This window comes from Homo sapiens, chromosome 14, assembly GCF_000001405.40.
Source record: "Homo sapiens chromosome 14, GRCh38.p14 Primary Assembly".
Lineage (NCBI taxonomy): Eukaryota > Metazoa > Chordata > Mammalia > Primates > Hominidae > Homo > Homo sapiens.
In genome coordinates, this window is record NC_000014.9 from 67,675,025 (window position 1) to 67,695,936 (window position 20,912).

The 20,912-nt window shown below is 43.2% G+C and overlaps 2 protein-coding genes across 3 annotated transcripts in view, besides 4 other annotated features; one reads left to right on the top strand and one right to left on the bottom strand.

Moving 5' to 3' along the window:
* Positions 1–20,912, top strand: part of GPHN (gephyrin) — a 1,227,209-nt gene that overhangs the window by 1,166,878 nt on the left and 39,419 nt on the right. The gene's annotated exons all lie outside the window — the stretch shown is intronic.
* Positions 1,776–20,740, bottom strand: RDH11 (retinol dehydrogenase 11). 2 transcript variants are annotated; one of them, NM_016026.4, is made up of 7 exons: positions 20,606–20,740; positions 17,910–18,028; positions 17,414–17,569; positions 16,116–16,220; positions 15,188–15,397; positions 9,991–10,180; positions 1,776–3,399 (listed from the first exon to the last, which is right to left on the bottom strand). In NM_016026.4, the coding sequence occupies exons 1-7, from the start codon at positions 20,677–20,679 to the stop codon at positions 3,297–3,299; spliced, it is 957 nt and encodes a 318-aa protein (NP_057110.3). In that variant the 5' UTR covers positions 20,680–20,740; the 3' UTR covers positions 1,776–3,296. The 2 variants fall into 2 exon arrangements, with proteins under 2 accessions (NP_057110.3, NP_001239579.1); NM_001252650.2 differs by lacking the exon at positions 15,188–15,397.
* Positions 5,287–5,386: a silencer, noted in NCBI's record as "silent region_5865". NCBI's record gives its function as "represses an Ori minimal core promoter by ATAC-STARR-seq in GM12878 lymphoblastoid cells {active_cell/tissue: GM12878}" and the evidence as "EXISTENCE:reporter gene assay evidence [ECO:0000049][PMID:35858748]".
* Positions 5,968–6,262: an enhancer, noted in NCBI's record as "tiled region #4541; K562 Activating DNase matched - State 5:Enh, and HepG2 Activating non-DNase unmatched - State 15:Elon". NCBI's record gives its function as "activates a minimal TATA promoter and a strong SV40 promoter by Sharpr-MPRA in K562 cells, with weaker activity in HepG2 cells {active_cell/tissue: K562 | HepG2}" and the evidence as "EXISTENCE:reporter gene assay evidence [ECO:0000049][PMID:27701403]".
* Positions 19,848–19,907: a silencer, noted in NCBI's record as "silent region_5866". NCBI's record gives its function as "represses an Ori minimal core promoter by ATAC-STARR-seq in GM12878 lymphoblastoid cells {active_cell/tissue: GM12878}" and the evidence as "EXISTENCE:reporter gene assay evidence [ECO:0000049][PMID:35858748]".
* Positions 20,257–20,893: an enhancer, noted in NCBI's record as "H3K27ac hESC enhancer chr14:68161998-68162634 (GRCh37/hg19 assembly coordinates)". NCBI's record gives its function as "activates a minimal SCP1, AML or CMV promoter by ChIP-STARR-seq in primed H9 embryonic stem cells {active_cell/tissue: H9 hESC(primed)}" and the evidence as "EXISTENCE:reporter gene assay evidence [ECO:0000049][PMID:30033119]".

A 20,912-nucleotide genomic window follows, 5' to 3' on the forward strand; every position in this document is an offset into this window, starting at 1 on the left:
ATGTATGTTTGCGTCTAGACGTCGTCCTCACTGTCATCGCGCTTTGCTTTGCCACCCTGACCCGAATTCCTCGTTTCGCGTCTTGACTGTTAGCTTTCGGCCCTGGAAAGATAGCCGGGCCAGGGGCTCTGCCTGCCGTCGGGAGGTGGAGCACTTTTCTTGGAAGGCCCAGCGGCTCCCCAAGCTTTCAGAAGTGGAACCCGGCCGGGCGAGTGGCTCGCGCCTGTAATCCCAGTACTTTGGGAGGCCGAGGTGGGAGGATTGCTTGAACCCAGTAGTTCGAGACCAGCCTGGGCACAATAGCGAGAGCTCTACCAGAAACCCAAAATAAGAACCGGGCATGGTGGCGCGCACTTTTGGCCCCAGCTACCCCCGGAGGCTGAGGTCCCACCACTGCACTCCAGCTTTGGGAGACCTTGCTCCCAAGTGGAGCGAGATCTTGTCTCCAAAAAAACAAAAAACCCAAAAACCAAAAATTCAAAAGTGGAACCCAGTTAGGATGACCTCGAAATACTCTAGCTGCTAGGCCCGAGTAATTCTCCTCGTGGAGACTAATTCTCCTCCTAGGCTGCCTCGTGCACTTGTTGACAACAGGTGTTTGTCAAGCGTAGGCATTGCGAGGGATCTGGGCATGTTGGTGAATAAAACATTTAATCTCTGCTCCAGGGGAATTTATAATCTGGTGTGGAAGGTGGGCCTGGCTTCATTAGGTCTCATCTGCCACTAAGTGTCACGTGTTAAAAATTACAAGGTCCCTTCTTGCACTCCATGGGTATAAATTCCTGTCTTCACGTCGGGCATGGTGGCTCACGCGTCATCCCAGCACTTTGGGAGGCCGAGGCGGGCGGATCACTTCAGGTCAAGAGTTCAAGACCAGCCTGGCCAACATGGTGAAACCCCCGTCTCTGCTAAAAACACAAAAATTAGCCAAGCGTGGTGGTGGGCGCCTGTAACCCCAGCTACTCGGGAGGCTGAGGCAGGAGAATCGCCTGAACCCGGGAGGCAGTGGTTGCAGTGAGCTGAGATCGTGCCACCACACTCCAGCCTGGGTGACAGAGAAGACCCTATCTCAAAAAATTAAAATAAATTATTATTTTCACCGATTTCACGGTTTGCTCAAGGTGTCTGTTCTCAAATGTTTGCTTGGGAGTTCAATTTTAAACTGCCTACAAATATTAAAAGATGTATGACTGCTCAGGAGAAAATGCTTTGCTAATTTGTATCTCCTGGGCCCTCATTTTTATTAGATCAAGTTCATTGGCTGTTGATTCAACACACTTTGGTTAAGCTCTTAATATGCACTGAGCATAGACATGACCAAGTCTGAGGATAGTCAGTATACTGTGTAAGTCCCACAGCACAATGCTGGGACTTGTCACAGTACAGAAATAAGGGGCAGGTGCAAAAAAAGGATCAATAGCCTGGGGCCGGGTGCTGCGGCTCACACCTGTACCCCAGCACTTTGGGAGGCCAAGGTGGGAGGATCGCTTGAGCCCAGAGTTTGAGGCCAGCCTGGGCAACAAAGCAAGACGCTGTCTCTAATTAAAAAGAAAGGAAAAAAAAATGGCCCGGGATGATCAAGAAATGTGGAAAAAGTGTCTGTGAAGAGTGTCAAAAAAGGTTAAGTAGGAAATGGTGAATGAACAATTAGATTATCACACAACCTAAATTAATAGCATGTGGATTGAGATTACACTGTAGCTAGACTCTGGAACAAATTATTCTTTAGAATGAGAAATCATTGCACAACCATAATAATGAACAGTGTTTTCTTCTTTTGACTGTAATCAAACTTTTAATTCTTAGTTTTTATTCTGGTAAATGAAAACAAAAAATAATCAAAAAGAATTTTTATTTGTCATTGACAGTTCAATATAAATTAAGTAAAACATTAATTCATTTATTCTGCACTATTATCAGAATTTTTCTAATTTTTCCGTAAAATGACCATTTCTAAACATATAGCTTAATGGTCAAAACAAGTGCAATAAAAGATTAATTTACAAGTATCAGAAGTGAAGACTGTGGTCCTATAACTCTTTCCCCCACCAAAGTTAAAATATAATTGTCATTCCAGGAAATCAAAATCTTTTAGAATAGCACACTCCAAACAAGTGATGGGAACACTACTAATTCCTTAGACTTCCTTTGGCAGCATTACTTTTGATAAGAAGTCTCCAAATAAAATACAAAATTTTGGCACAGACATTTTAATCTTGTCAAGACAATGTAAGGAAATGCCCCAAAATATTATTAAATTGACCATAATTACCAATATCAGTCCCTAAGATAATTTTTCTGAATGAAGAATTGTTTTTTTTGTTTGTTTGTTTTTAGGATTTTTTTTTTTTTTTTTTTTTTTTTTTTTGCCACACTGGTTTTTGTTAAGACCTCATCAGTCCTGGGTGCTTGCCCTCAATTCCTCCATAGCTATGTTAGCATATTTAATATCTTTTGCTATTAATCCTTAACTAGTTAATCCTTAAAGGGCTAGTTAATCCTTAACTAGTCCCTTCATTTTGTGCATTATCTTCCAGTATTCTCCTTCTCTTTTTTTACTTCTTCCCTGCTACCCATGTGCTCTTGGTGGGTAGTTACCAACATATACAGAATCTGCTTCCCTTTGCAGCATTTCATTTGCATAAAGACTGGATGGCACTGGTTTGCTCCATCTCTGATTATTGTGGCTGTTTTGAACTTTGTGAAAATACTCCCTTGGCACACATAAACAGGAAGACACACAAAGATATACACAATTTTTAGTAGAGGTGGGGTTTCACCATGTTGGCCAGGCTGGTCTTGAACTACTGACCTCCGGTGATCCACCATGCCTGGGCAAGCCCTGCTCCTGAGCCAGTCTTTGTTATTCATGTTAAGCTGAGGTTGCAGTGTGGCCCTCTTGAAGTGAAGACTGGTTGGTTGGGAGGAACTGAATTGTGAACAAAGAAGCTAGTTCAAATTTGCATAAATCATCCCTGCTATAGCTTAGATTCTCCTAGGTAGTAGTTTCTTTCAGAAGGAAAATGAGCTGTGCAGGTCATATGAGGGTCTTCTTATCCTATTATGATATCTCTAGTAACTCTGGCAGTAACAGAAGCAAAGTAAATCTGGACATGACAGACATTTAGACGAATCTGGCAGTACACTGAGTTTTAACTGGACACCAAGCAGGCAAGGCTGGAAGGTTTTGCTCTCTTTGTGCTAAAGGTTTTGAAAACCTTGAAGGAGAATCATTTTGACAAGAAGTACTGTGTAGTCTGCTGCAGTCTTCTCTTGGGTCCAACTGGCACTGCCTGTTAGTCTATTGGGAGGCCCAGCAGGTCACAACTGACGTCCCACAGCCGCCTTGCTATAGTCTCATTACGAGCTTGGGCAGAGACCCATGCCACATGACAGTCACTGGAAGGTAAAGAGAAAGGTATGAAGCACAGTGTTAAGAATGAAGTCTGCCATCTGCCAGGGATAAGGAATATGACATAAAAACAACTAGGGATCACATGTTCTCCATGTACTTCACAGGGCCAGTGTTTGTCCTTATCTCTTCATTCTCCAGTCCTTAGCCAGAGAAAATGTAATTACCATTTTAGATCTCCTCGCTAGACCACCTCTCATCAGAATGCTTTGTTTGATATATAATGCATACATTTGGTCTTTATATTCCCCTATTTATATAATTTAATATTAGTGCCTGCCTGACACCCATGTATATCCATCTTCTTCAAGTAAGTCCATAAGGCCCATTCTACAGAGCCTTGGACAATGTCATATAGCTGAGATCCTGCTATTCACATTGGTCAGAGATGCCTGGAGTAGTAAAAAAAAAAAAGAAATGCTTATTTCTGGACTCCTTGAAGTTATACTGTTAGTAAACTCATATGAGAAGTAAAGCCAGCTTCGAAAACAACAAAAGGAAAAGGCGACACAGAAAAGAAATGGTAAAACCAAGGTACGAGGTGTCTTGGTCCATTTTGTGGTACTGTAACAGAATACGACAAACTGGGTAACTATAATGAGCATACAGAAACTGGCTTATGATTATGGAAGCTGAGAAGTCCAAGATCAAGGGGCTGGCATCTGATGAAGGCCTTCTTGCTGTGTAATAACAAGATGGAAGGCATGACATGGGCAAGAGAGGGAAGGGGACACAAGTCATCCTTTAATAAGGAACCACTCCCAAGATAATGAACCCGTTCCAGAGATAATGGCATTAAACCATTCATGAGGGCTGCCCTTGTGACCTAATTTACCTCTTAAAGGCCCTGCCTCTCTATACTGTTGTATTGAGGCTTAAGTTTCCAACATATGAACCTTGAGGGACACATTCAAATCATAGCAAAGTGTTTCATATACCCTCTCTTCATTGCTGTAATTAATTCCAAGTTTTTTTTTTTTTTTTGGAGGCGGAGTCTCACTCTGTCGCCCAGGCTGGAGTGCAGTGATGCGATCTCAGCTCACTGCAACCTCCGCCTCCCAGGTTTGAGCAATTCTCCTGCCTCAGCCTCCAGAGTAGCTGGGATTATAGGCGCCTGCCACCATGACTGGCTAATTTTTGTATTTTTAGTAGAGACAGGGTTTTGCCATGTTGGCCAGGCTGGTCTCGAACTCCTGACCTCAAGTGATCCACCTGCCTCGGCCTCCCAAAGTGCTGGGATTACAGGCATGAGCCACTGCACCCAGCCTGTAATTCCAAGTTTTATAATTTTATAATTCCGATGCAGAAAATTTTCTTAAGGACAATTCTGACTCATTTTTGTATTCTCTGGATCTGGTATACATCTGGTAAGCATTCAGTCAAAGTTTTAAAAAAAATGATTGAATGTATTACAATCTTTAGTCATGTGAGGAAACAATTTTTAAAAGTATACTATTTCAAGAAAATTGCTTCCTCAGTATCTAAGCAAATTCTGAAGGTGAAAGAGTTGACAAGTCTGAATTAACTATATATGCAAACTCTTAACACTATGTCAAGTAAGACAGTGGGATTCAAAGTGTGCACCACAAACCAGCAGCAGGAGCATCAACTGGGAGCTTGTTAGAAATTCTCCAGCCCTACTCCAGACATACTGAATGAGAATCTCTAGGGTTGTGGTCCAGGAATCTATTTTCAACTAGTTTTCCAGATGACTCTTGAACACACTAAAGTTTGAGAAATACCATTTCAAAATATCGTCACGTTTACAAAACAAGTCTTATCAGTACTTCTGTTTAAGAAGACTCACCAGTATGACCAGTACAACTTGCCATTTCCTAGTGAAAAGATCATCAGTGAGAACCACAAGGCTCTGTATCTCTCTGGAAATGACTCAGCCTTTGTAAGCCTCTGCATCCTCCACTGCACTGTGCCTTATACTCTTCATAAGGTTACAGTTAAGAGCAAAGAACACAGTTGACATGAAGGTTCCTTGTAGGCTATAAAAACTAATCAAATACTACAGCAAGAGCTTTCTGGTTGTTTTTTTTAGACAGGGTCTCACTGTTGCCCAGGCTGGAGTGCAGTGGTGTGATCGCAGCTCACTACAACCTCCCCAGGCTCAGGTGATCCTCCTATCTCAGCCTCCCAAGTAGCCAGGACCACAGGGACACGCCACCACGCCTGGCTAATTTTTGCATTTTTTATAGAGATGGGGTCTCATTATGTTGCCTAGGCTGGTCTTGAACTCCTGGGCTCAAGTAGTTTGCCCACCTCAGCCTCCCAAAGTGCAGGGATTACAGGCGTGAGCCGCCGCGCCCAGCCAAGTAAGAGCTAGTTAAGTGTGCCTATGGCATCAGCATGGTCACAGTATTGACATTTCCAGGGGGATTTTGCTAAGAATTAGTATAGGTAAAAGATAAACTAATTTCAAAACTTACTACAATGCTATAGTAATCAAGATAGTGTGATACTGGCATAAGGACAGACATACAAATGAACGGAACAGAAAAGTGAAACATAAACCCTTATATTTATGGTCAATTGATTTTTGACAAGCTTACTGTTATACTCCAATTGTGTTCCCCCAAAATTAATATGTTGAATCCCTAACCCCCAGTGTGACTGTATTTAGAGAGAGGGCCTTTAAGGAGGTAACTAAGGTTAAATGAGGTCATCAGGGCGGGGCCCTAATCCAACAGGGCCTTATAAAAAGAGGAAGAGACACCAGGAGTGTGTGTACATAGAGGAAAGGCCATGCGAGGGCTCAGAGAGAAGGCATCCATTTGGAAGTCAGGAAGGCAGGCCTCACCAGAGACCAACCAGGCCAGCACCTTGATCTTGGACTTTCAGTCTCCAGAAGTGTGAGAAAATAAATTTATATTGTTTAAGCCACCCAGTCTGTGGGATTCTGCTATGGCAGCCTTAACAGACTAATACAGATACCAAGACAATTCAATGGGTAGAAAACTGTCTTTTCAACAAATGGTGCTAAGGCACTGGATATCCACATGCAAAAGAATGAAGGTTGACCCCTACCTCATATCATATACAAAAATTAGTTCAAGGCCGGGTGTGGTGGCTCATGCCTATAATCCCAGCACTTTGGGAGGCCGAGGAGGGGGATCACTTGAAGTCAGGAGTTGGAGACCAGCCTGACCTACGTGGCAAAACCCCATCTCTACTAAAAATACAAAAATTAGCCAGGCATGGTGGTGTGCACCTGTAGTCCCAGCTACTCGGGAGGCTGAGACAGGAGAATTGCTTGAACCCAGGAGGCGGAGGTTGCAGTGAGCAGCCTGGGTCACAGAGCAAGATTCCGTCTCAAAAAAATAATAATTATAAAATAAAATAAAAATAGTTCAAAACAGATCACAGACCTATGTAATGCTACAACTATAAGACTATTAGAAGAAAACATAGGGGTTGCTATAGTTTGAATGTATCCCTTAAAAAATCACATGTTGGAAACTTAGTCCCTCTGCCTTCATGAACAGATTAATTAATAAAAGCTTTGCCCTCATACCTGGATTAATGTCACTATCATGGGAGTGGGTTTGTTCTTGCTTGCCCTCTCACCATGTGATGCCCTCTGCCATATTATGACACAGCAAGAAGGCCCTAACCAAATGCCAGGCACCATGTTCTTAGACTTCTCAGCCTCCGGAACCATGAGCTAAGTAAATTTCTTTAGAAATTACCCAGTCTGTGGTATTCTGTTTAGTAACAGAAAACTGTCTTTACTAAAGACAGTAGTAAATCTTTGTGACCTTGGGTAAGGCAATGATTTCTTAGATATGACTGCACAAGTGACAAAAAATAGATAAACTGGACTTCATCAAAATTTAAGTTTTACATTTCAAAAGATACCATTAAGAAAGTTAAAAGACAACCCACAGAATGAGAGAATATTTGCAAATTATATATCTGACAAGGAACTCGCATCTAGACTATTAAGAACTCTTGTAACTCAACAATAAAAAGACAATTATCCAACTTAAAAATGGGCAAAGGACTTGATAGACATTTCCCCAACAAAGAAACAAATGAACCAAAAAGCGCATGAAAGAATGTTCAACATCATTAGTAGGAAAATGAAATGAAAATAAAAACAAGATATTCCTTCATACTCACTAGGATGGCTAAACTCAAAAGGAGAGACAATAACAAGTGTTGCTGAGGATGTGAAGAAATTAGAATACTCATAGACTGCTGGTGGGAATGTAAAATGGGGCAGTCATTTTGGAAAAGTTTGGCAGTTCCTCAGCAGTTAAACACAGTTACCATATAACCCAGAAATTCCACTTCCATGTACCCAAGAGAAATGTCCACACAAAAATTTCTACACAAATGGTCACAGCAGTATTATTCAAATAGCTAAAAAGTGCAAACCCAAATGCCCATCACCTGATGAATGAATAAATAAGATGTGGCAAATCTATACAATGAAATGTTATCCAGCAATAAAAAGAAATGAAGTACTGACACATGCTTTAGCATGGATGACCCTTGATAACATTAAGCTGAGTAAAAGAAGTCAGTCACAAAAGGCCACATACCATATGATTCCATTTATATGAAATGTCCAGTAAAGGCAAATTCTTAGAGACATAAAGCAGACTAGTGGTTGCAGGCAGAAAGAAGAGCCAGTGCAAAAATCTTAAGGCTTCAATCAAAAGACTTTTATGTTCATTTCTTGATGGTGGTCTACACGGCTGCTGTTGGATCTTCAAAATGAATTAAGAATCCATAGCACAGGAAAGGCTCTTCAAAAGTCAATCCAATAGTAAGTTATGGATTTAGAGCTGACTTTCTTTAAACCACTCAGTCAAAACCAAGATAAAGGGTTATTTTTTTTTTTCTTAAAATCTCTAGGGAAGAAGAATCCAGTCACTCTTGGAAAATCAATCCAGTATACTATATAAATCTATCTTCTTATACTTCAGAACCACATTTCCAACTATCTGCTATACATTTCTACTTGCATGCCTTATAGATAACACACATGCAACATGTACAGAGCCAGGTTTGTTACACAGTGGACAACTGTTACTCTTTGGCTGAACATTCTACTTTGTTTCGGCAATAGCAACCTGATTTCCTTCTGCAGAATCACCTTTTCCCCTCAATATAGTTTGAAGAGAGCATTAATAAAGTCCCTGTTTGCCTCTAATCAAAAGAGTAAAAATGAAGGGATAGGAGGAAGGAGATCCAATGCTTCCTCCCTAGAGAATGGATGATAAGCAATACAACCTAAACACTAAAGATAGCTGGCATTCGCTCACTCTAGCAGCAATGCCCCGGCTGGCTGACTGCCACTCTGACACTTCTTAGCCTGGCTCTTCAGTCTTCCCTTTCAACCTAGGGGTCCCTCCTCTCCCTACTAATATTTTAATAAATTTCCTTCTTGCTTAAGCTAGACAAAGTCCCTTTCAACTGCTTTGGAATCCAAGAACCCTAAGTTCCACACATTACTTTTCCATGTCTGCTGTCTTAGTTAATGTCATCATCAACCTCATTCAGGCTTGAAATTCAGGTTAGCAAAGCCTCCCTCATCCCCTCATTTAATTAATCATCCAGTGATAAAAATTCTGCTGCTTCAGGGCCTCTTTCACATTACCATTCCTTTCATTACAACTTTCTGAAACTCTCTCTCTCACTAGGTTAATTATTCATTCATGAAACAAAGTTGCTAAAGCACAGACCAGATTTTGTCTGTCTACTGAAACAACTCTGGGGCTCCTCCACAAGGCTGGCATTATAGGCCTCTCATAATCTGTCTGCCTTTCTTTCCAATCTTAATGCTATTTTCAGCTACTTCCTTAAAATTTCAGGTCATTTCAACAATAACCTGAAGTAGAGGTAAAAACATGTTAAAATTTTGATCTTATGTGATGCCTGGGATTTGCTTCAAAATAATATGGGAGAAGAAAAATATGGAAAGGGGTAGAGAATGGGGATAGGGCAGAATTGGCCATGGGTTAATGGTAGCTGAGGCTCCATTATATGCAGGCTCAGTGCACTATTTTATCTAACCCTGTGTTATATTCAAAATTCTCTACATTTAAATCATTTTAAATGTCTTCGCTTATTTGAGAGGGGAGTCCATAGTATTTCAATCCTGAGGACAATAGAGAAATGCAGATTCAAATTCTTTTTTTTTTTTTTTGAGGCGGAGTTTCACCTGACCTTAGGTGATCTGCCCACCTTGGCCTCCCAAAGTGCTGAGATTACAGGCGTAAGCCACTGCGCCTGGCCTCAAATTCTTTTTAAATTCTTTTTAATGTAAAACAATAGAATTAGGAATCCAAAAAAGAATAAAGAAAACTGGACTGACATAACAAAGACAGGAAGAAAACAAACAGAATGCATAATTATCAGTATAAAAGATGGCATAAAATCAAATGTAGCAGTTATTACAAAAGAGAGTCAAATTCCCCTACTAAAAGGTAAAAACTCTAGAGTTAAAAGACAAAAGCTATATGAGACAATGTACTTTTAAAAAAGGGTATACCCAGACAAACCCAAATTATCTCCTTTGAGCAATAAATCTCATCTGCAAAAAGAGATAACATTCATACCTGAAATGATTCCCACTTAGAATCTCAAGACCTTCTGTTAAGGCACAGTGCAGGCTGGTCTGGGCTCCCTGCTGAGGAGTCTTGATGAAAAAGGAGAAAAGCCACCACATCCATCTCATGAAAGATGAGTGCCGAACCAGTTCAGATTGGACTGTGCCAGGGTGTACAGAATACGTCGTAACGCCAGAGCCTGGTTGGGGGTGGCATGAAGAGAGGGTAAGACAGGACTTGATTTTGCAGAATAGCCCAAAACAGAAAAGGATGTAAATAAGCATGTGACCTTCACATATGGACTCTTTTGCCCATGGTGACATCAGAAGTACTGCTCACAGTAATTTATACTTCCATCTCACAGATCTAAGAAGGCTCTAGAGTAGACAGTGCTAAGGACCTCTGTGTATTTCTGACTGGAAACTCAAGTCAGGAATCAGCAGAGCCAAGACTCATCCTCTCAGCAGCACTTAACATCGTTGACCACCCCCTTCTTTTTTAGAGATGGGGTCTCCCTATGTTGACCAGGCTGGTCTTGAACTCCTGGCATCAAACAATCTTCCCACCTTGGCCTCCCAAAGTATTAGGATTACAGGCATGAGCCACCACACCCACCCCATCCCCTTCATTTTTTTGAGACAGGCTTGCTGTGTTGCCCAGGCTGGAGTGCAGTGGCATGATCTTCCTTCTGCCACTGCCTTCCAGGTTCAAGCGATTCTCCTGCCTCAGCCTCCCAAGTAGCTGGGACTACAGGGGTGCGCCACCACACCAGGCTAATTTTTGTATTTTTAGTGGAGACGGGATTTCATCATGTTGGCCAGACTGGTCTTGAACTCCTGACTTCAAGTGATCTGCCCACCTCGGCCTCCCAAAGTGCTGGGATTACAGGCGCCCATCCCCTTCTTAAAGTCTTCTTTTTCACTGGCTTCCATAAGCCTATGCCACTTCTGGTTTTCCTAACCTTTCTGGCTGCTCTGTCTCAGTTTTCTGGACCAGTTCATCATCTTCTACACAAACATTAAATGTTGGAGTTCTCGTGGCTCACCAGACTCCCTCTCCATAATTCTATGGTGCTCACATTTTGTCCACAGTCCAAACTGCTCCTCTGAACTGCAGACACACTGGGAGTCAACACAATGTGGTGGTTATGGGCATGGATTTTGTAGACAGACTGCCCAGTTTCAAATCCTGGCTCCACTCATTAGCTGTGTAACCTTGGGCAAGTTCCCTTTTGTGACTCATTTCTTCATCTCTAAAATGGGAATAATCATAATACTTACAACCTCACAGGGTAGTTATGAGGATTAAATGAGTTCATATATGTTAAAGGTCTTAAAAGAGTGCCTGATGCAGCTGGGCGTGGTGGCTCACACCTATAAGCCTAGCATTTTGGGAGGCCAAGGCAGGTGGACTGCCTGAGCTCAGGAGTTATAGACCAGCCTGGGCAACACAGTGAAACCCCGTCTCTACTAAAATAGAAAAAATTGGCCGGGCATGGTGGCGTGCACCTGTAATCCCAGCTACTTGGGAGGCTGAGGCAGGAGAATGACTTGAACCAGGGAGACAGAGGTTGTAGTGAGCCGATATCGTGCCACTGCACTCCAGCCTGGGCGACAGAGTGAGACACCGGTGCAAAAAAAAAAAAAAAAAAAAAGTGCCTGATGCATGGTAAGTGCTAAATGATACTTTTGCACATGCTATTTCAGGCCCCCAATCCTTTATGGAAAACGCTGGGGCCAGACATACTTCAATTTTTTTCTCTGATTGTAGAAAGGTAATATGAAATGTATACATACACTGCCTATTAATCTAATCTCCCTAGTACAGGAAATGTTTTGCTGCCAAATGAGTTTTGGTGTAAAGCTTTGAAGAAACAGAATTTTTCTGGTCTTTGTGGACTGACAGCTGCAGACACAGCTGTATTATTCCCAACTGCCTACTCGACATCTCCCTAGATGACCCATAGTAATGCAGACTCAGAGGTCCCAAATTGATTTCTACTTTTAAAGCCAAACCTGGTTCTTGCAGTGTTCCCGACATGCCCAATCAGGCAAAAGGGTTCTGATGAATGCCCACCTAAAGCATGCATCTCCAGTCAACAAGCTTTCCCAAACCAAATCTCTCTCAGAAGTTTCTACTACCCTCCAATTCCACCACCTAGTCCAAACTACCCTCATTTCTCACCTCTGCTGATGAAATCAACTGCTGCAACCCCTCTTGCCCCCATTTTGAAAAGGCTTTAATTTTAACCGTTTCCCATTGCTCTTAGAATAAACACTAAAATCCTTACTGTGGCCTCTAAGGGTTTGGCATCTACCTACCTCACCAGTCTCAGCTCAGATCTTTATTACTCTTGCTTTCTACAACCTACCAATGGTAACCTTCGCTGTTTCTCAAACTGAGCCCGGACCTTTGTACATTCTCCTCCTTCTGCCTGGAATGTTTCTCAGCCTCCATATTCCTTTTTTTTTTTTTTTTTTTTGAGATGGAGTTTCACTCTTGTTTGCCCAGGCTGGGGTGCAATGGTATGATCTCAGCTCACCACAACCTCTGCCTCCCAGGTTCAAGCAATTCTCCTGCCTCAGCCTCCTGAGCAGCTGGGACTACAGGCACACGCCAACATGCCCGGCTAATTTTGTATTTTTAGTAGAGATGGGGTTTCTCCATGTTGGTCAGGCTGGTCTTGAACTCCTGACCTCAGGTGATCTACCCACCTCAGCCTCCCAAATTGCTGGGATTACAAGCATGAGCCACCACGTCCGGCCCTTTTTTTTTTTCATTTTTTCAGACAGAGTTTTACTCGTGACGCCCAGGCTGGAGTGCAATGGCATGATCTTGGCTCACTGCAAACTCTGTCCCAGGTTCAGGCGATTCTCCTGCCTCAGCCTCTCCAGTAGCTAGGATTACAGGCGCCCGCCACCACACCTGGCTAATTTTTGTATTTTTAGTAGAGACAGGGCTTTCACCAAGTTGGCCAGGATGTTCTCGAACTCCTGACCTCAGGTGATCCACCAGCCTCGGCCTCCCAAAGTGCTGGGATTACAGGTGTGAGCCACCGCGCCCGGCCTCAGCCTCCACATTCTATCAGTACCTCTAATCCATTTAATTTCTAATCATCCTTCGGGGCTCAGCATGCAACTCACTTCTTCAGGAAAGTCTTCCCTGAACCCTCAGACTGAATAAGGTCCCCCCAAGACTCCCACTAAAATCCATTGTAAGTCCTGGTACTTCTCCTTTATAACATTTATCACAATTATAATTAAACAGCCACAACAAAAAGGAAACAATCCAGATGTTGTTAAGGAAATACATAAATACACTAAGGCACATCTATACTACGAAATACAACACAGCCAATACAATTAAGGGGTAAATCCATATGTACTAAATGGAAAGATCTCCAAGATACTGTGTTGGAGTTTCAGTTCCTTGTGCATGATACATACATATGTAAATGCATAGGAAAATTATTGGAAAGGGGCACACAAGCTGTTGATAATGGTCATATGAAGGGAGAAGAGCAGGGGGAAGAGGGGAATAAATGAAGGTGGTTTTTCACCTTAATTCTACATACTTCCATATGCTTTGAACTCTTTTTTTTTTTTTTTTGGTAGAGGAGATGAGGTCTCACTATTTTGCCCAGGCTGATCTTGAACTGGCCTCAAGTGATCCTCCGGTTTTGGCCTCCTAAAGTGCCTGGGATTAAAGGTGTGAGCCACTGTGCCTGACCTTATTTGAGCTTTTTACAATGAGAATTATTCATGCATTACTAGACTGATTTTACATTTAATAGTTTGTATAAAGACTTGCTAATTGTCTTTCTCCCCCGTTAGATGTAAACCAAACCAAAGAAGAGACTATACCTATCTTGTTCACCAATTCATCCCCTGTCCCCTAACCCAGTGCACGGAACAACATGGGCACTGAATACGTGTCTGCTGAATGGCTGAATGAATGAATCTTCTGTCAAACCAGGGTTCTTTTACTGCACCATAATGATTTTCCACTGAATCCTCACAACTATCAGAGTCACCTCATTCATGTATTAGTGAATTCTCACCACTGGACCCATCTTTCCACCTCCAGGCCACCCTAGCTCCCTGATCAACTCTTTGGATAGTTTTCACCATCCAGTTACCCTTATCTATCCTAAACTGATAAAAGATGTCATGCCCTGGGCACAGACTGGGCATAAGGACTGAGCTAACCACCAGTTTCCTTCCCATCTCACAGATGTTCATTTGGTAGGATGATCCTATTCCAACTATAGGGCACCTGTGCCTGATTCCTTGAGCCTGCATTCTGCCTGCCTCAATTCCTAGCACAGTTCACCCTCGATTTCCCTTCTCTTTATTAGAAATCCAGAGTAGACAGTGCTAAGGACCTCTGTGTATTTGTGACTGGAAATTCCCCTTCTCAAGCATATATTTCCCTCTTATTTGATGCTTTGCAAGGGAGACCCTGCCCCTCCATATTCCCAGTACCTGTTTTAGTCTACTGCCTTTATCTAGTGCCAGTTCAGGTCCTTCCCTCATACTCAGTCTCACTGTGAGTAAAAAATCTTGACTTGCTTATGAAGCCTGAATTAATTATGACAATAAACTGTGAAGTAGTCCCATTTACATATGAAGAAGGAAGTCCTAAAAGTTAAGTAATGGCCAGGTGCGGTGGCTCACACCTAAAATCCCAGCACTCTGGGAGGCCAAGGTGGGTGGATCACCTGAGGTCACGAGTTCAAGACCACCCTGACCAACATGGTGAAATCCTGTCTCTACTAAAAATACAAAAATTAGCCAGGCCTGGTGGCACGCACCTGTAGTCCCAGCTACTCAGGAGGCTGAGGCAGGAGAATCACTTGAACCTGGGAAGTGGAGGTCGGCAGTGAGCCGAGATTGCACCATTGCACTCCAGCATGGGTGACAGAGCAAGATCCCGTCTCAAAAAAAAAAAAAGTTAAGTAACTTGCTATAGATCACACAGCTAGTAAGTAGTAAAGCCAGGCCTTCAGACTCAAAGTCAGAGTCTCACTGTCCCAGCCAGCCACCTCCAATATTCAGTTGTAGACTACTTACTAAAACTGTACCCAATTATAGCCACGGAAGCAGGTCCTCTCCAGGTGATGGGCTCTGGAAACAGTTTCCATTCCTGTGGCTTTTACCTGCCTCTCTCTGACTCATGTCTCCACATTCATTTCCTCTAGGCCCACCTTTTAGTCTCCGGGCCAGTTCCTGGGTGAAGAGGATGTTGGCTAGCTTGCTGTGACAGTAGGCCAGGCCTGCATTGTAGAATTTCTCGCCCTGCAGGTTATGGAAGTGGATCCTTCCCAGGTGATGTGCGAGGGAAGACACATTTACTATCCTTGATGGGGCTGATTCCTTTAGTTTCTCTAGCAGCAGATGGGTTAGGAGGAAGTGACCTGTTGAGAAATACTAGAATTAATGAAGTTCAGGGCCATGTAGGAATGACAGGAGTCGTGGTGAGCAGGCCTCACCTATGGGAGGCAGATAATTCAGAAATAAGGTCTTTCCCTCCAACTTTTCATTATCAACTAGAAAACAAGTTTAATGAAGGTTTAGGGAAATAACAACAGCCAAAGACATGAGGCATCCTTATATGAGCGAGATAGGTCTAGACTATGTGAATATGAAGTCCCAGCTCATTCCTACTTTGGTTAATCTCATTCTTAAGAGCTGGTTGGCTGGGTGCGGTGGCTCACGCCGGTAATCTCAGCACTTAAAGAGGCTGAGGCAGGAAGGTGCCTGAGGCCAGGAGTTTAAGTACAGCCTGGGCAACATAGCAAGACCCTGTCTTTACAAAAAAAGAGCAGATGACCTATACCTGATGCTGGCCACAAGGATCACTACTAAGAAAGCAACACAGTCCCCTAAACCAATTAGTCTGTTAAAAAATGCGCCAAGGCAAACCAAATCTAAATCACAGATTAAAAAGCGGGCAGAACCTGGAGCAGCCCTCAGGTATTCCTCAGCTATCAGGTAGGACCAAACTATTATGCACACATGGTCTATTATGGTCCTGAGGTTCAATCACACAACAAGAAGCCTCAATCTGACCCCTAAGTTTCCCAAAGAGAATTTTGGGTCTCTCTAGCTTTGTGATAAGGCCAGATTTCTTACCCAAGTGGTTGACTCCTATGTGCATCTCAAAGCCATCTGCTGTCTTCGAGTACGGACACATCATCACTCCTGCATTGTTGATCAAAACGTGGAGGTGCTTTTCCTCTGCAGGGACAAGACGATGGAGCGTGGAAGTGGCTAGCCAAGGCTATTACATCTTAGAAAGCTGCCTCACGCTCAGGCTTTGAAAATGAGGATGCAGGACTTCAATCTTCCCTCCATTTTTCCTTCATATTTATTTTCTATTGTTTTTCATTTTAAGACTTTAGTTGAATCCCACCTACTTTTACTATGGGGCAGAATTCCATTTTATACTACCAAATGACCTTCCAGATCCTTGTAGTTCAGGAGCTACTTACTCACTGCTTTTGGGAATTGTTGCATCCACCTCTCTCAATAAAAAGACTTCCCAAGCTGAATGGAAAGATTCCAAAGCAAGAGAAAAAAGAATGTTCTCTATGTACCTCTGCCCTGGGATTCAGGTCCCCAAAGAAATAAATACTGGCTTCACCTCTTTATTGCATCTTCCAATTCTCTCTCATGGTTCATTTCCTCATGTGGTTTGTAATTTATGACTATGAGTTCACACCAGTGAAAGCTTTTTCCTTGGAGGCCTAGATCCCTGGGCTATAAGGGGATATGCCTATAGAGTGCTCTTGGATTTGCTTTTGATGAGACACTACAGGTTTTTACGTTAATTTTCCATAGAGTATTACACACACATACAAAAATCAAACCCATAAATATCCTCATATCATTTGGTGGTACGAATTCAGACCCCACACATGATGCCAGCTCGGGTTCTAATTTTTTGCAGGTAAGTATCCATCTATGTCTAAAGAGATGGTAAACTTCTTTGTCATGTCTCTGAGCTGGTGGCCAGGATTTTTATTAGCTTCTATACTATGGACCAGATGGCCCTTTGTGAATCTCAACTTTGTGTAGAACCTCAAATACAGCTCCAGCTCTCAAAGGCCTGTGGCCTCATCTCCTATCCCTGTGTAAGTATTTAGACCCCAGACCCTAAAAAGCCTGTACTGAGTGCTGAGACTCCCATGAGATTTCTGGCTTCAGCTCTTACTCACTGCTATGACGTTTTGAATTCATTTTTTGTTTCTGCCTCTGGAAGATATCCCTTTGACATAAATTGTGTCCCAGTGACTATGAGTTCAGCTACAGAAGTTTTTGGCTATATTTTATCCACCACTTCTATGAGGAAGAGGGACCTTTTCCTTTTAGTTGAATCTGCCATGTTGACCTCAAGACCCACAACATAGTCTCTCTAGTTCTACACTTACCAGCTAAGAAGCCCTTAGCAAAAGCTCGAATAGACTTAGTATCAGACAGGTCCAGTTTCCGCACCAACACCTGCTGGTTCCCTGTCGTGGTCTGGATCTCTTTGGCCACCAATTCCCCCTTTTCCACATCCCGGCAAGCTAAATATACTCGAGCTCCTGTCAGCCAACATATGAAAGAGAAATGGTCAGCTCTGTTTTTGAGCTGGCATTATAAATCTAATGTTATTTCCAACATTTTTTTAAAAAACACACATTTTTACCCTTTCTTCACAACAGAGGTATCTGATTAGCAAATAGGTAAAGAAAAATAAATTAATAATATTCATTAAGGGTCCATTATATGTAGAGCATAGTACTAGTTTCAGATCAGCAAATCAGTGGAATCCTTAGGTGTTCTTGAATTCCAAAACTGGGAAGAAACAATGAGAATGAATCATCATTACTGTGAGGGGTAAAACAGCAGTAATAGGAGGGAATTGAAAGGAGGTGAACTTGCCTCTCTGAGCCAGCTCTTTGGCTGTCTCCTTCCCGATACCTGTATTAGCTCCTGTGACCACAACTACTTTCCCAGGAAGCTGAACAGTTGATGTACACACCCCACTGGACAGCATTTTCCTGCAGACAGAGAAGGAGAGCTCATCAATTCTTCATTCTACTGTCTCAGCCAGTAGGTTCCTGCAACTCCCTGTGTCTTCTGGCTGAGGTTTGCTTTAGTTCTTTCCACTGTTGTCCTTTTAAGGAAACAGTGTCCATTTAAGGAAAGTTGGAGGAAAGATGACAAAAGTTTTCTGCTTTTGCTCAAAGACAAAAGTGATTCTATTACAAGGGCAAAGCTTACAGCTGTTCTCTGCAGCACAAGAACTGGATGAATACCTGCTTAGCCAGGCACCTGGCTTTGGTTTGAGCTCTCTAAGGCACTTGTGACTTAGGAAATCACAAGATTCAGCCCAGAAGAAGAAATAACTAGTTTCTGTAGGTCAATCTGTCCACAACTGGCATTTTATGGCCTTGAGAAATGGCTAATCCAATACAAAAAGTTAAAATTATGAAAGCTTGTGACTCTGGGACAAAATAAACAAGAAAAAAAAAACACACCCACACGCATGCACATACACACTTAAAACAAAGAGAAGATTATGTATGTACAAAGGGGAGCTGGGATTCAAGTCTTGCTTTGTGTAATTAGAGTCCTTGTTTCTTTCTTTCTCTTTCTCTTTTTTTTTTTTTTGAGACAGAGTTTTGCTCTTGTTGCCCAGGCTGGAGTGCAATGGTGTGATCTCGGCTCACTGCAACCTCCACCTCCACTGCAACCCCCATCTCCCAGGTTCAAGCGATTCTCATCCCTCACCCCCTCACCCATGCGCCACCACGCCCAGCTAATTTTTGTATTTTTAGTAGAGACAGGGTTTCACCACGCTGGCCAGGATGGTCTCGAACTCCTGACCTCAGGTGATCCGCCCACCTCAGCCTCCCAAAGTGCTGGGATTACAGGTGTGAGTCACCAAGCCCAGCCTAGAGTGCTTGTTTCTAAGTACTATACTATATTGCCTTTTCCAAATGAATGAATGCACAAACACAGATTGGTGGTTCTCAGACTGGCCTATTCTCTTCTTGGCAATGTTGGGACTCTGGTTAAAACAATCTGTTGACCAGGAGATGCATTCTTAAAGAGCATTTCAGCCTTTTTCATTGAACTTGGAATTGCAAGGTACATACTCTTAGCCATTGAAGCTACCTGCATAGTGCGAAAATGCTGACAGGGAGGCAGATTAACTCATGGTCCCCACAAACCATCACCTCCCTCCTCAGAAAACAAGCCTCTAGGCTGTTTCCCACATCCCCTTACTGTATGTAGCTCCAGGAGTGACAACTTAGTAGGACCTGTACTTAGTTCTTTCTTCTCCTTAACCAGCAGGAATGAAAGAGACAACTATAAAAGTCCAGCTCTGGCCCGACTCCCATAACCCTGCTGAGTTGGGAATACAGCTCCTGGAATATATATATATATATATATACACACACACACACATATATATATATACACACACACACATATATATATATATATACACACATATATTTTTTTTTTTTCCAGAAAAATCCCTCTGGGGTATGAGCACTATTTTCAGTTCTGGTTCAACTTTTCATTGAGATTCTATGTGGATAAGAGGATCTTGTAGTGAAAAAAAGATAAAAAGCAGTGTTTTCATCTGAGTGTGAGAAACCATGTGTGCCTAGAGGTGGGAGAACTGAGTGTTCAGAAGGCAGAAAAAATATAACTGGAAGAGGGGCACCAGAGAAGGAAGAGAAAATAAAAATAAAAGAAGGAAAGTAGGTGACTGTGGTAAGAAATGACTGTGATCTGGCCTGGCTTCAAGTTCTATTGGGACTAAGACCGCCCACCTGGGGAAGGAGTGTGTCTGTCTATTCAGTCACTGGTCCGTCACCACTGGTGATTTACTTAGAACCAATAAGCAGGCTGCCGGTTTTACAGCCCGCTGCTGATTCACTGGGGCACTTGGCCAGCCTTGGGCTGATTGATCTATCACCTGGTCAATACCTTCCCACCATTCTCCCAGCCCTCACCGCCCCAGTACCCTAGCTCCTAACTCAGATCCCCCGTGCTCCTGCTCGCAAGGCAGGATAGAGCTCATAACCAAACACTCTTCCTTTTCACTTTTCTCCTTTACAACATCCGCCCACAGAACAAGCGATTGTAACAGCAACGAGAGAGCAAGGATGGGGCCGCAGATGTTACGATTGCTATCAGTTTCAGAGGGCGAAATGTGGAATCGCTCCTTTGTACCTCGAAGGCTGGTTTAAGGCGTGGGGAATAAGGGGAAAACAGCGTCGGGCCATATCCCATTGAAGAGTCCGAAACTCAAGCGTTTGAGGTAGCCTTACCCTCGGGATTCCCTGGAGCCAGAATCAGGGGGTGCTTAGACAAAAGAAAAACAGGCCAGGGAAAAGCAGTGTGCCCCGGACTGCCGCCCTTTCTCACCGCCTGGGGTCTCGGGTGTCCTCCTGGCACCCAGGACAGCTGGACCTCGCCTCCAACCCACCGAACTCTGGGCTCCGCCATCTTGGAGCCCCCCCAGGGGAGTTTTCCAAGAAAGCTTTGGTGGGGATTCTATGTTTCCCTCCCGCCCCGCAACAAGAATTCTCAAGAGAAGGCAATACATTTGCACAGACCTGATTTGGGGCGCAGCCATATACAGAAGGAAGGGCAGAAGGAGGAGCAACAGCGGGAACATGAGCTCAACCATCTCTGCCGGCTGCAGCGGCACCAGAGCGGGATGCTCCAGCGTTGCTCGCCGACTATGGCTTCTCTTTCTAGACACGCCCCAATTCAAATTGCGACAGCCCGGGGAGCAGACCTTCTGGGAAATGTAGTCCAGAGCTTGACAGCCTCAGGCTGGCTACGTGGGAGCGCTGCCGCCAACGCTGGCAGAAGTTGAATTATACATCGCTAATCCCCAACCATCTAGGGCTTAGGGCC

Bases quoted from the DNA above. Each gene is read 5' to 3' on its own strand.
- RDH11 (NM_016026.4), bottom strand. From the start codon at position 20,679: ATGGTTGAGCTCATGTTCCCGCTGTTGCTCCTCCTTCTGCCCTTCCTT. The intron at 17,570-17,909 runs GCAAGTTCACCT...GTTGGCTGACAG, and splicing joins CAAAGAGCTGGCTCAGAGAG to GAGCTCGAGTATATTTAGCT. The intron at 15,398-16,115 runs GTAAGAAATCTG...ATTTCTCAACAG, and splicing joins CATAGGAGTCAACCACTTGG to GTCACTTCCTCCTAACCCAT.